General features: G+C 45.1%; 1 annotated feature.

The window, feature by feature from the left end:
* Positions 242 to 973: an enhancer, noted in NCBI's record as "NANOG-H3K27ac hESC enhancer chr1:5112177-5112908 (GRCh37/hg19 assembly coordinates)". NCBI's record gives its function as "activates a minimal SCP1, AML or CMV promoter by ChIP-STARR-seq in naive H9 embryonic stem cells {active_cell/tissue: H9 hESC(naive)}" and the evidence as "EXISTENCE:reporter gene assay evidence [ECO:0000049][PMID:30033119]".

The raw sequence follows: 13,172 nt of genomic DNA, 5'->3' as shown, positions 1-13,172 counted from the left end.
TCCGTGTGAAGAGACCACCAAACAGGCTTTGTGTGAGCAATAAAGCTTTTAATCACCTGGGTGCAGGTGGACTGAGTCCAAAAAGAGAGTCAGGGAAGGGAGATAAGGGTGGGGCCATTTTATAGGATTTGGGTAGGTAAAGGAAAATTACAGTCAAAGGGGGTTTGTTGTCTGGTGGGCAGGAGTGGGGTTCGCAAGATGCTCAGTGGGGGTGCTTTTTGAGCCAGAATGAGCCAGGAAAAGGACTTTCACAAGGTAATGTCATTAGTTAAGGCAAGGACCGGCCATTTACACTTCTTTTGTGGTGGAATGTCATCAGTTAAGGTGGAGCAGGGCGTATTCACTTCTTTTGTGATTCTTCAGTTACTTCAGGCCATCTGGGCGTATATGTGCAGGTCACAGGGGATGCGATGGCTTGGCTTGGGCTCAGAGGCCTGACATTCCTGCCTTCTTATATTAATAAGAAAAATAAAACAAAATAGTGTTGAAGTGTTGGGGCGGCGAAAATTTTTGGGGGGTGGTATGGAGAGAGAGAATGGGCGATGTTTCTCAGGGCTGCTTCAAGCGGGATTAGGGGCTGCGTGGGAACCTAGAGTGGGAGAGATTAAGCTGAAGGGAGGTCTTGTGGTAAGGAGTGATATTGTGGGGATGTTAGAAGAAACATTTGTGGTATAGAATGATTGGTGATGACCTGGATACAGTTTTGGATGAATTGAGAAACTAAACGGAAGATACAAGGTCCGAATAAAAGAAGGAGAAAAATGGGTATTAAAGGACTAAGAATTGGGAGGATCCAGGACATCCAATCAGAGTGCCCAAGGGGGTTCAGCGTAATTACTTGCTTGGTTGGCAAGTTTTTGGGCTCTATCCTTCAGTTTTTTTATGTTGTCATACACCAGGCCAGATTGATTTAGGTAAAAACAACGCTCCTCATTTAAGAATATGCAGAGTCCTCCTTTTTCAGCAGTGAGTAAGTCAAGGCCTCGGGGGTTTTGGAAGACAACTGCAGCTGAAGAGTCAACATGGGCCTGGAGGACTGATAAAGTTTGTGATATGTCTGTGATGCTAGCAGAGAAGTCATTAGACAGGCTACGAAAGGTCGTGACAGAGGTTGAAATGCCTGCTATTCCAGTACCGAGAGCAATAGTGGAGGCAGAAAGTCCTAAACCGACCAGCAAGAGAATTAGTGGAATAGCTTTTTTTTTGTCGTGTCGGTGTCATGAGGGGAACAGGGAGCTCTTCGGTCCCATTTGCAAATTGAATTTTGGGGGTAAGGAAGACTAGTGTACATGTGCCTGTCCAATTAGCAGGTATACACATGTAGGTAGAGGATCCACAGAGGAAGAAGAGACCTTGGTATGAGGCAAAACAGGAGATGTAAAGTAAAAAGATGAGAAGGAGTGCTGAAAGGGGTGTCTTGTACCCAGACTCCTAGGGATCCAGCTAGGGCGGCAGGTGTCAGAGGTTGTAATGGGGACTGATGGGGTAACTGCATAGAAGGGGAGGTTCGATTTTCATGGTATATGAGAAAACCTTGAGTATGTACAAGCAACCTTTCACTGTTATTTTCGGGGATGGGTATAAGTAAACAAGAAGAGGGCCTGGGAGGAAAGTCTGATGAGCAAGGGGAAGGTAGCCAAGGATGGAGTGAAATACAGGGCAAGTGTCTTCCTAAGCAATAATTACTGCTAATGTTTTTAAGTTTGTCAGTATTGATGGAGGGCTTGTCTGTAATATGGAGCTGGAAGGCTCCAATTGTTTCAGTGATGTGTGTAGTTGGACTTCAGAGATGAAGAGTAAAGGAACATTGAGAAGGTGAAAGATTACCTAGGGGAATTCCAGTGGGTCTTTGCCGAGAGATACATAAAGGAGCGGCCACTGGAATAGTAGTTTGTGTTGTGAGAGGTCCAAATATGGGGGGAGTAGAGTTAATATAAGGAGAAAGGTTTTTTAAATAAGTGCAAAGGAGGGCAGCAGCTTGCTGATGTGAAATGTCTGGGGAAGTCTTGCTGGACCTGTCTAGAAAGTAAATGAGTTCTTCAGGAGGGTGAAGGTGAGGGCTGTTAAAGGAAGTTCGGAGGTGTAGGGAGATGGGAGATGTTGCCCAGTCTGTCTGTAAGGCGGGGACATCTGTGTAGGCACTGGAAGAAAGGGAAATGCAAAGCCAGCAGTTGTTCACTAAGGAGGGATTAGAATCGGCTAGGAGAGAATGGGTAAGGTTGATAGTGTGGTGGAGATAGCTGGGGCGAGGTAGAGGGTGACATAAGAATGGGAATGAGAATAAGAGTGAGTATAAAAGTAAAGAATAGAACTTCATCAGGGTGGAAGTATTGGAGGGTGCCTTGCCAGCAAAGATCATCTATCCACTCTAAGAGGGAGTTAAGAGTGGCAGTTTGGGGATAGCACCAAGAGATATAAACCGGCAGTGTAAACAAGAGTAGGGCATTTATAAGTAGTTGAGAATGAAGAATAGGAGTATGACCAGACAGAAGATAGTAGGGATGACTAGTTTTTGGGGCTCGGCCTAAGTGGTGGGGGTGACTTCGTAAAGCCTTGTTGCAAAAAGTAGGGTAAGGATGAACAGACCTAATAGAATGAAGGGATATATTAGACTCATAAGGGTTATTACTGTTGTTCAGAAATGCTAGTGAGTTTAAGGGAAGTAGGGGAGAGTACTTGCGACTTCCAGGAGGAATAGGAGGGATTAGGCTGGCTGTCCAATGGGCACAGCTTTATTCTGGAATGGTGAACCCAGTGGGGAGGATCCTGCAGGCGGACGGCAGTCAGGGTACTATAGATGACTAAGTAGGGTCTGGTCCATCGAGGTTGTAGAGTTTGAGGGGTCAGATTCTTAACAAGAACTGATCGTCCAGCTAGGGTGTCTTCATATGGCTGGAGATCTGGAGTAGGCAAGAGAAGATTAGCAGCCTGGTGAATTTCCTATCTAGCCTGTTGGAGGACTGGAAGATAGTTGCCTAGAGGGCTGGTGTCTGGGATGAGGTTGGGGCCAAGCAAGAAAGTGTGTCCATATAAGAGTTCAAATGGACTGTACCCTGTAGCATCTCGAGGACAGGCTCTGATTCTGAGAAGAGCAAGAGTTAAAAGTACTGTCCAATCCTTTTTAAGTTGGAGGCTGAGCTTGGTGAGGTGTGTCTTTAAAAGACCATTAGTCCGTTCTACCTTTCCTGAAGATTGAGGACGGTAAATGATATGAAGGTTCCACTGAATACCAAGAGCCTGAGAAACTGCTTGGGTGATTTGGCTAGTAAAGGCCGGTCCGTTATCAGACTGTGTAGAGGCGGGAAGGCCAAACCGAGGGATTATGTCTGACAGAAGGGAAGAAATGACCGCAGTGGCCTTCTCAGACCCTGTGGGGAAGGCCTCTACCCATCCAGTGAAAGCGTCTACCCAGACTAAGAGATATTTTAGTTTTCTGACTCGAGGCATGTGAGTAAAGTCAATTTGCCAGTCCTGGGCAGGGGCAAATCCCCTAGCTTGATGTGTAGGAAAGGGAGGAGACCTGAACAATCCCTGATGGGTAGTAGAATAGCAGATGGAACACTGAGAAGTGATCTCCTTGAGGATAGATTTCCATGATGGAAAGGAAATGAGAGGTTCTAAGAGACAGGCTAGCGGCTTGTAAACTACATGGAAGAGGTTATGAAATTATGATAGAATAGAATGGGCCTGTGAGGCTGGAAGAAGACATTTTCCTTGGTCTAAGAACCATTTGCCTTGTGTGGGAAGAGATTGATAGGTGGAAGTTTCAGTGGGGGAGTAGGTGGGAGTGACCGAAGTGAAGGAGAAAAACTGGCCGTGAGGGACAGAAGTTGGAGAGCTAGCTGCTTGGCTAGCCACCTTATCAGCATAAGCATTGCCTAGAGCAATGGGATCTGATGCCTTTTGATGTCCCTTGCAGTGAATGACCCCAGCTTCTTTTGGAAGTAAAGTGGCCTTGAGCAGAGTTTTTATTAAAGAGGCATTAATGATGGAGGACCCTTGTGTAGTGAGGAAACCTCTTTCAGCCCATATGACTGCATGGTGGTGCCGAATATGAAAGGCATATTTAGAATCAGTAAGATATTGACGCGTAGTCCTTTTGCAAGAGTGAGGGCTTGAGTTAAGGCAACTAGTTTGGCTTGCTGAGAGGTAGTGGAGGGAGGCAGAGTGGTAGCCTCAACGATAGATGTGGAAGATATTATAGCATAGCCTGCCTTTGCTGGTGAGTGGCGATTAGGCCTGGTGGAACTGCCATCAATAAACCAAGTGTGATCAGGGTGAGAAATGGGGAAGAAGGAAATGTGGGGAAATGGGGAGAGCATCAGGTGGATCAGAGAGATGCAGTCATGAGGGTCAGGTGTGGTATCCGGAATAATGTGGGAGGCCGGATTGAAGTCCGGGCCAGAAACAATGGTAATTGTGGGAGACTCAACAAAGAGTGAGTACAGCTGAAGGAGCCGGGGAGCAGAAAGTATATGTGTCAGGTGTGAGGAAGAAAATAGATTTTGGAAATTATGAGAGCTGTAGAGAGTGAGTTGAGCATAGTCTGTGATTTTGAGGACCTCTAAAAGTATTAATGCAGCAGCAGCCACTGCACGCAGACATGATGGCTAGGCTAAAACAGTAAGGTCAAGTTGTTTGGACGGAAAGGCTACAGAGTGTGGTCCTAGCTCTTGTGTAAGAATTCTGACCACGCTAACCATGCATAGGAAGGAAAGGAGTTATTTTGTAGAAGGTGCTGGGGTTTGAGAGATCAGTCAGATACGATTGGCAGGGAGAGCACATGTGTTTTTATGAGAATTATGCCGAGATAGGTAACAGATGAGGAAGAAATTTGGGCTTGATTGAAGTAATGGGGGCTGTCTGTGAAGCTTTGCAGCAGTACAGCCCAGGTAATTTGCTGAGCTTGATGGGTGTCAGTGTCAGTCCAAGTGAAAGTGAAGAGAGGCTGGGATTAAGTGTGCAAAGGAATAGTAAAGAAAGCATGTTTGAGATCTAGAACAGAATAATCGGTTATAGAGGCAGGTATTGAGGACAGGAGAGTATATGGGTTTGGCACCATGGGGTGGATAGGCAAAACAATTTGGTTGATAAGGCACAGATCCTGAACAAACTTGTAAGGCTTGTCTGGTTTTAGGACAGGTAAAATGGGGGAATTGTAAGGAGAGTTTTTAGGCTTTAAAAGGCCATGCTGTAGCAGGTGAGTGATAACAGGCTTTAATCTTTTTAAAGCGTGCTGCGGGATGGGATATTGGCGTTGAGTGGGGTAAGGGTGATTAGGTGTTAATGAGATGGTAAGGGGTGCATGATCAGTCGCCAAGGAGGGAGTAGAGGTATCTTATACTTGTGGGTTAAGGTGGGGGGATACAAGAGGAGGACACAAAGGAGGCTTTGGATTGGGAAGAAGGGCAGCAATGAGATATAGCTGTAATCCAGGAATAGTCAGGGAAGCAGATAATTTAGTTAAAGTGTCTCAGCCTAATAAGGGAGCTGGGCAGGTGGGGATAACTAAAAAGGAGTGCTTAAAGGAGTATTGTCTAAGTTGGCACCAGAGTTGGGGAGTTTTAAGAGGTTTAGAAGCCTGGCCGTCAATACCCACAACAGTTATGGAGGCAAGGGAAACAGGCCCTTGAAAAGAAGGTAATGTGGAGTGGGTAGCCTCCGTATTGATTAAGAAGGGGAGGGGCTTACCTTCCACTGTGAGAGTTACTGGAAGCTCGGCGTCCGTGATGGTCTAGGGGGCTTCCGAGGTGATTGGGCAGTGTCAGTCTTCAGCCGCTAAGCCGAGAAGATCTGGGAAGGAGTCAGTCAGAGAGCCCTGGGCCAGAGTTCCAGGGGCTCTGGGAGTGGCTGCCAGGTGAGTTGAACAGTCCGATTTTCAGTGGGGTCCCACACAGATGGGATGCGGCTTAGGAGGAATCCCGGGCTGCGGGCATTCCTTGGCCCAGTGGCCAGATTTCCGGCACGTGTAGCAAGCTCCTGGGGGAGGAGGTTCTGGAGGAACACCTGGCCGCTGCGGTTCAGGCGTTTGGAAGTTCTTGTGTGCTGGAGATGTGGCTGGGGTTTGTCTCACAGTGGAGGCAAGGAATTGCAACTTTTTTCTATTATTGTACACCTTGAAGGCGAGGTTAATTAAATCCTGTTGTGGGGTTTGAGGGCCGGAATTTAATTTTTGGAGTTTTATTTAATGTCGGGAGCAGATTGGTTAATAAAATGTATATTGAGAATAAGACAGCCTTTTGACCTTTTAGGGTCTAGGGCTGTAAAGCGTCTCAGGGTTGCTGCCAAAGGAGCCATGAACTGGGCTGGATTTTTATATTTGATGAAAAAGAGCCTAAACACTTCTGATTTGGGATAAAGAAAAAGGAACATTAACCTTGACTATGCCTTTGGCTCCAGCCACCTTTTTAAGAGTAAATTGCTGGGCAGGAGGGGGAGGGCTAGTCACAGAACGAAACTGTAAGCCGGACCAGGTGTCAGGAGGGGAGGTGATAAAAGGATTATAGGGTGGAGGAGCGGAGGCTGAGGAAGAATTGGGACCTAGCTCTGCCGGTCGAGGAGCAGCCTGGGGAGGAAGGGAGAGGTCAGATGGGTCTGTAGAAAAGGAAGATTAGAAAGACTCAGCGACGCTTGGGGTTGGTACTGAGGGGACAGGCGGGAGGGAAAGAAGGAAGATTTGGGATGAGTTGCACTGGGCACAGAGACTAGGAAGGGACTGATGTGTAAAAGAATGCCTGGACGTCAGGCACCTCAGACCATTTGCCTATTTTATGACAATAATTATTTAGATTTTGCAGGATGGAAAAATTCAAAGTGCCATTTTGTGGCTATTTGGAACTACTGTTGAGTTTGTATTGGGGTCAAGCGGCATTGCAGAAGAAAAGGCATTTAGGTTTTAGGTCAGGTGTGAGTTGAAGAGGTTTTAAGTTTTTGAGAACACAGGCTAAGGGAGAAGAAGGAGGAATGGCAGGTGGAAGCTTACCCACAGTGAAGGAGGAAGCCCAGAGAAAAGAGTAGAGACACAGAGAAGGGGTGGAGGGTTCTTGCCCTCCAGAAAAGCAGAGAAGGGGTTGGGGCACGGAAGTAAGGGATTGGGGCACAGAGATAAGAGGTCAGGGTGTGGAAATAAGGGATTGGGGCACAGAGATAAGAGGTTGGGGTGTGGAAATAAGCGACTGGGGGGTTCTTGCCCCCTAGGAAAGCGGGACTTGCCACTAAGGGTGAAGGAGAAGGGGTTGAGGGGTACTTGCCCCTGTCCCAGAAAAGCAGAGAAGGGGTAGCGACAAGGAGAGAAGGAGTTGGGGTACTTGCCCTTTCTCCAGAAAAGCAGAGAAAGGGTAGAGACAAGGAGAGAAGGGGTTGAGGGGTACTTGCCTTTTCCCCAGAAAAGCGGGACTTGCCGCTAAGGGTGAAGGACCAAGGCAGGCATCCCTGCGTGGTCTGACACCCTTGAAATGTGAGTGTATAATCAGAGAGGCGTCCCTGCAATGATTAAACACCAAGGGAAGGCTGCCTTCCCAGTCCATGACCGGCGCCGGAGTTTTGGGTCCATGGATAAAACGTGTCTCCTTTGTCTCTACCAGAAAATGAAAGGAATTGAAATTAAGAGAAGGGAGAGATTGAAGTGTGGCACCAAGATTGAAAGGAGAAAGAGGTTGAGGGATAGTGAGGGAGGTTGGAGAAGAGAATAAAAAGAGGCTGCTTACCGGATTTAAACTTGGTGAGATGTTTCTTGGGCTGGTCGGTCTGAGGACCTGAGGTCGTAGGTGGATCTTTGTCACGGAGCAAAGAACGGGAGGACAGGGGATTGATCTCCCAAGGGAGGTCCCCCGATCCGAGTCATGGCACCAAATTTCATGCACGTCCGTGTGAAGAGACACCAAACAGGCTTTGAGCAATAAAGCTTTTAATCACCTGGATGCAGGTGGGCTGAGTCTGAAAAGAGAGCGAAGGGAGATAAGGGTGGGGCCGTTTTATAGGATTTGGGTAGGTAAAGGAAAATTACAGTCAAAGGGGGTTTGCTGTCTGGCGGGCAGGAGTAGGGGTCGCAAGGTGCTCAGTGGGGGTGATTTTTGAGCCAGGATGAGCCAGGAAAAGGACTTTCACAAGGTAATGTCATCAGTTAAGGCAAGGACCGGCCATTTACACTTCTTTTGTGGTGGAATGTCATCAGTTAAGGTGGGGCAGGGCTTATTCACTTCTTTTGTGATTCTTCAGTTACTTCAGGCCATCTGGGCGTATAGGTGCAGGTCACAGGGGATGCGATGGCTTGTCTTGGGCTCAGAGGCCTGGCAGTTACACTAACAATGTACAAAATAAACTGTAAGGCAACAAGCATCAGTAGAACTAGAGACATTCCACAAGTGTGTTAACTGACCAGAAGGATATTAGTACATATGTATGTACCCCCCAAAAACCAAAATACATAAATCAGTAATTGCCAGAGCTTAAAGAAAGAAAAGCAATGCATAACCAATGCGGAAGACTTTAATAAACTCCATAACTAATAAAACAAGAAGATAATAAAAATAAGTATATAGACATGGACAAGACACCTAGTAAAAGACCTAACGGATGTAAACAAAACATTGCATCCAACAGCAACAAAGGCTCATTTCTTCTTCAAGTGTGTAGAATCATTTACTGAGATTGACTATACATTGGACCATAAACAAGATTCAACAAATTTCACAGGATTAAAGTTATTCAGAGTAGGCTTTCTGACCACAGTGGAATTCAGCTAGGAATCAGTAGAAAATCCCCTACTGTTCAAAAATTAAACAATTCACCTCTAAATAATCCATGTGTCAAGAGGAAGTCACACTTGCAACTACAATGTATTTTGAACTGAATAATAAAATATGCCACAAGTGGACCTCTGTAGCATCTAGCAACCAGGGCTTAACCCTTGCCCAGAAGCTGGTCTTAAGGAGCCTGCTCCAGCATTAAGGTCTTGTGTGTTCTGATTATTTCAAGTTCGCCCTTTGCCACATGTTAACAATCTAGATTACATCCTCTGCCCCACTGCCTTGTTGGAGCCATGACTTTAAATCTTCCACACAACCAGCATACTGCTTTTAGCCCAGTGTGCATGCAGTAAGATTCTTTTTGCTACAACATCCTATTAACCATTTCTGGTTATTCTTGGCAGTAATGTCTTTGCAAAGTGGAAAACATTCTTTAATTCTAAGCAAGGACAAAAGTGTTCAAAGCTTTATAAGGCTTTAGTCACCCAAGGAACTAATTCATGTGATTATTCATCTTTTTCTGCCCTTGTAAATCAGCACCTCAGAGATATTCAGACACTCTTGACTTCCAAAGGACAAGCTTCTTGCAAATGAACAATTTCAATTGCTATATCCGTAGTCCCACTCAACATACCCTCAAGCAGCATACTTAACATGAAAGTCTGTTTAATTGCCAGTAAATAGTAGAGTACTCTTTTAAAACAATGTGTCAAACAAAATTAATTGAAATAATCTTAATGTGTTTCATGTGGTAATAACCACTTATGTAAGATTAACACCATAGAAAGAAAAGACAAGGAGAGAGGTAGTGGCGTGTTTCTGTAATGGTAGGCTTTGCAGTAAATCCTTCTGTTGTTTCCCTGGCTGGTCATTTTGGTTTCCTTTGTAAGTTTTTCAGCTACATGAAATAAGGAATTATTACCTTATAAATAGTTGGTGAAACTGAGTAATTGGTAGTGAATTTATTATCTTAGTGCTTTGAATTAAGTGTGTGAAACGAGAATTCAAAAGCTGGAGCATAAGACAACACTTCAGAGGAAGATGCTTTGCGCAGGAACTTCTTTGGGAAGAAAACTAAAGATTCATTCATTCATTCATCCAACAATTTAATATCCTATTAAATCAGTGGCAATGCCTGAAGTTAATGGTTTTATCTGACTATACCCCAAAGTCATCTGAACCTAGAATTTGTGTCTAAGGAAACAATACAATGAAGAAAATAACTCTATAACCTAAAGCACCTGTTTTGTACCAGGCACTCTCTTGCATTCTCTCTTGTGTCTCTTTTGATGACTCTGAGACAGGTAGTATCCATTCCATTTTAAGGACTGGGAAGCCCACACTCAGAGATGTGAACTGGCTGCATTACTAGTTAACATTCGGTGGGAATTCCCACCATGCTGCTGGGCTCCGGGGCCTTATTCTTTCCCTGCACCACAATTGCAGCAAGCACAGACCCCATAGGTTTAAGGTGGATCAGAAAGAAGAGAATGTTTGGATCGTATCAGGGTTTGCTTTAATCAGGCATGATGAGATGACAGATGTGGAGACAACTGCCTTTGAAAGTGCAGTTTACACTTTATAGTTTCCAAGAGGGAGGCCACACCACACAGGGCCACACGGGGACCACCAGGCTGGTCAGAAGGCAGAAGGAGCCAGCAGGGAGCAGGGCTCAGAGACTTCACTGTGATTCCCACAGGAAAGAATGGGCAAGGCAGGGCAGGAAAGTTTAAGATTCTAGTACTGAGCTTATCAGGGTGGTCTCTAATTGTCTGATACCTGGCCGACATGGTCTGGTTGTGTCCCCACCCAAATCTCATCTCGAATTGTAGCTTCCATAATTCCCATGTGTTGTGGGAGGGACCTGGTGGAAGATAATTGAATCATGAAGGCTGCTTCCCCAGGGCCGTTCTCATGGTAGTGAAGATGTCTCATGAGATCTGATGTTTTTTTAAGGGGTTTCCCCTTTCATTTGATTCTCATTCTCTCTTGCCTGCCACCATGTAAGAGGTCCATTTGCTCTTCCTTCATCTTCTACCATGACTGTGAGGCCTCCGCAGCCATGAGGAACTGTGAGTCAATTAAACCTCTTTCCTTTCTAAATTACCCAGTCTCGGGTATGTCTTTATTAGCAGTGTGAGAACAGACTAGTACACTGACCCTGGGGTAATTTAGGGCAGGGGAAGTGTTGGCGGGGTGCATGGAAATTACATAAAGAATGGGGTTGGGCATGTGGGATTTGGAGTGGGTGGTTTACATAGGAAAGGAACACTCACAGATCAGTTATTTTCTGTCTCTAGGAATTCGCCCTGGGAAGGGTAGTCACTCCAGGATTAGCGAATACCTAAGGTGGTAAAAGCAACACAAAACACAGAAAATTTATAAAAACATAGATGATAGAGAGAAATCTATATTTGGATGGTAATGAAATCAGGACTTTCCATCTAAAGTTCTTTTTCAGAAGCAACCACAGAGGGCCTGGAGATGGAGCACAACCCTGCTGTTCTTCTGCTCCAGCTGTGGACACTCTGGCAAGTGGAGGAAATCTAGCATGCGCATTTGCACGGCAGACAGCAGGCATGCTCCAGGCACCTTGGAAGAAGAATCAGTGACGACCTTAGGTTGGGTTTCCCAGACCCTGAACCAAGGTTTTCAGTGTAGGCAGTTTATTTGGGAGGTGATCCTAGAAGTGAGAAAGTAGGGAAAGTGGGAGGGGGAATAGAAAAAGTCCAATCTAAGATGCACTAAAGACAGGGCTATGCTTGTGGGCATATGAGGTTCAATCCTACAGGAGACTCTCAGAGGAACCATTGCAGCATGGCCTAGAATTGTCCCCCACCAGAAGATGAGGAGGCTGGACATTCTGTCACTAGCTCCCAGCCACCACTCTTTGGGAGCTGTCCCAGGAAAGGAAGAAGTGGTCATTAATGCCTCTACTTCTGGGCCATAATTGCATTCAGGTGGGCAAGCTCTTAAAGTGTAGAGGAAGAACAGGAGAGGTGCAGGCATTTGAGGGGAGAATCACAGCTATCACAACTCAGGTGGGCTGAGGGCATGGAGGGGGAAGGTATCAAGAGGGTTCACTATAGGAACAGAATAATGAAACAGATGGTCTCTTTTTGAAGAAGATGGATACATTTATTTCATTCTCATCCATCCAGGTCATAAAGTGTATGGAAAGCAATAGTTATGACTACCGGCTTTCCTGTTTAGTCTCAGGACCAAAAAATTGATGTGCTTCTCCTGAGCATTTCATCTGCTTATAGTTCTGTGTACACTATGAATTGTGTAATTCTTAGTGTTCCTTCCTTGTGTCAGCTAAAAAAACAGAAGCTTAGAACCAAAATTTATGCCTTACCTCCACCAAGTGTAGAGACAGTTTAGAAATTACTGTTTTTATTTCAAGATCTCTTTATAATCTTACTCTCACTGTTGTCTTTTTATTCTGAATTTAAATCTATGATTTGTTGCTCTACTTTATATATCTTTACAAGATGTCCTGACTCTTGAACAAAATTCTTGTGCTAGGGAGAAATCTTGGTTGCAAGGGTCAGACACCTAACTCAGAGTACATTAAACAACAACAACAAAGAATATTTTGGCTGTATTATATAACTGGGAAAATGGGGAAAATGTCTTGCTCCAGGCATAGTTGGATCCAGAAATTCAAATAACATCTTTAATATTTTCTTTCTCTTATCTCTCTCTCTTTTTCCCTTGCTTCCTCTCCCTTTATTACTTTTCAATTATCTCTCTCACCTCTTTCAGCTTTCCTCTGTGTTGGCTTTACTCTCAGTAGGATTATCCCATTTAGTATTAGTCTGTTCTCAAGCTGCTAATAAAGATATACCTGAGACTGGATAATTTATAAAGGAAAGAGGTTTAATGGACTCACAGTTCCACATGGCTGGGGATGCCTCACAATCATGGTGGAAGATGAAGGAAGAGCAAAGGGATGTCTTACATGGTGGCAGGCAAGAGAGAATGAGAATCCAGTGAAAGAGGAAACCCCTTATAAAACCATCAGATCTCGTGAGACTTCTTCACTACCACAGGAAGAGTATGGGGGAAACCACCCCGAGGATTCAATGATCTCCCACCAGGTCCCTCCCACAACACGTGGGAATTATGGAAGCTATAATTCAAGATGAGATTTGGGTGGGGAGAGAGCCAAACCATATCAGTGGCGTAGAATGACCACTGGCTGCTCTAGGTTCAGATCAAAGTTACAACTGATGAACCCAGAACTGTAACAAAAACAAAGGAAGTCACCTCTTTCTTGGTAGCTTGAGCAAGTTTCCTTGATGGGATCTGTTGAGTTCTGCTTAAGTTAACTTTGCACCTCTGTGATGGGGTCTTTACTACTGGAGACACTTGCGATGGGTACCCCATCAGAAGGAGAAGAAGGGGAGAGGGAAAAAGTGC

Source organism: Homo sapiens, chromosome 1 (genome assembly GCF_000001405.40).
Source record: "Homo sapiens chromosome 1, GRCh38.p14 Primary Assembly".
NCBI lineage: Eukaryota > Metazoa > Chordata > Mammalia > Primates > Hominidae > Homo > Homo sapiens.
The sequence above is the reverse complement of the archived record's forward strand: the minus strand, read 5'-3'. Positions and strand labels throughout refer to the sequence as shown.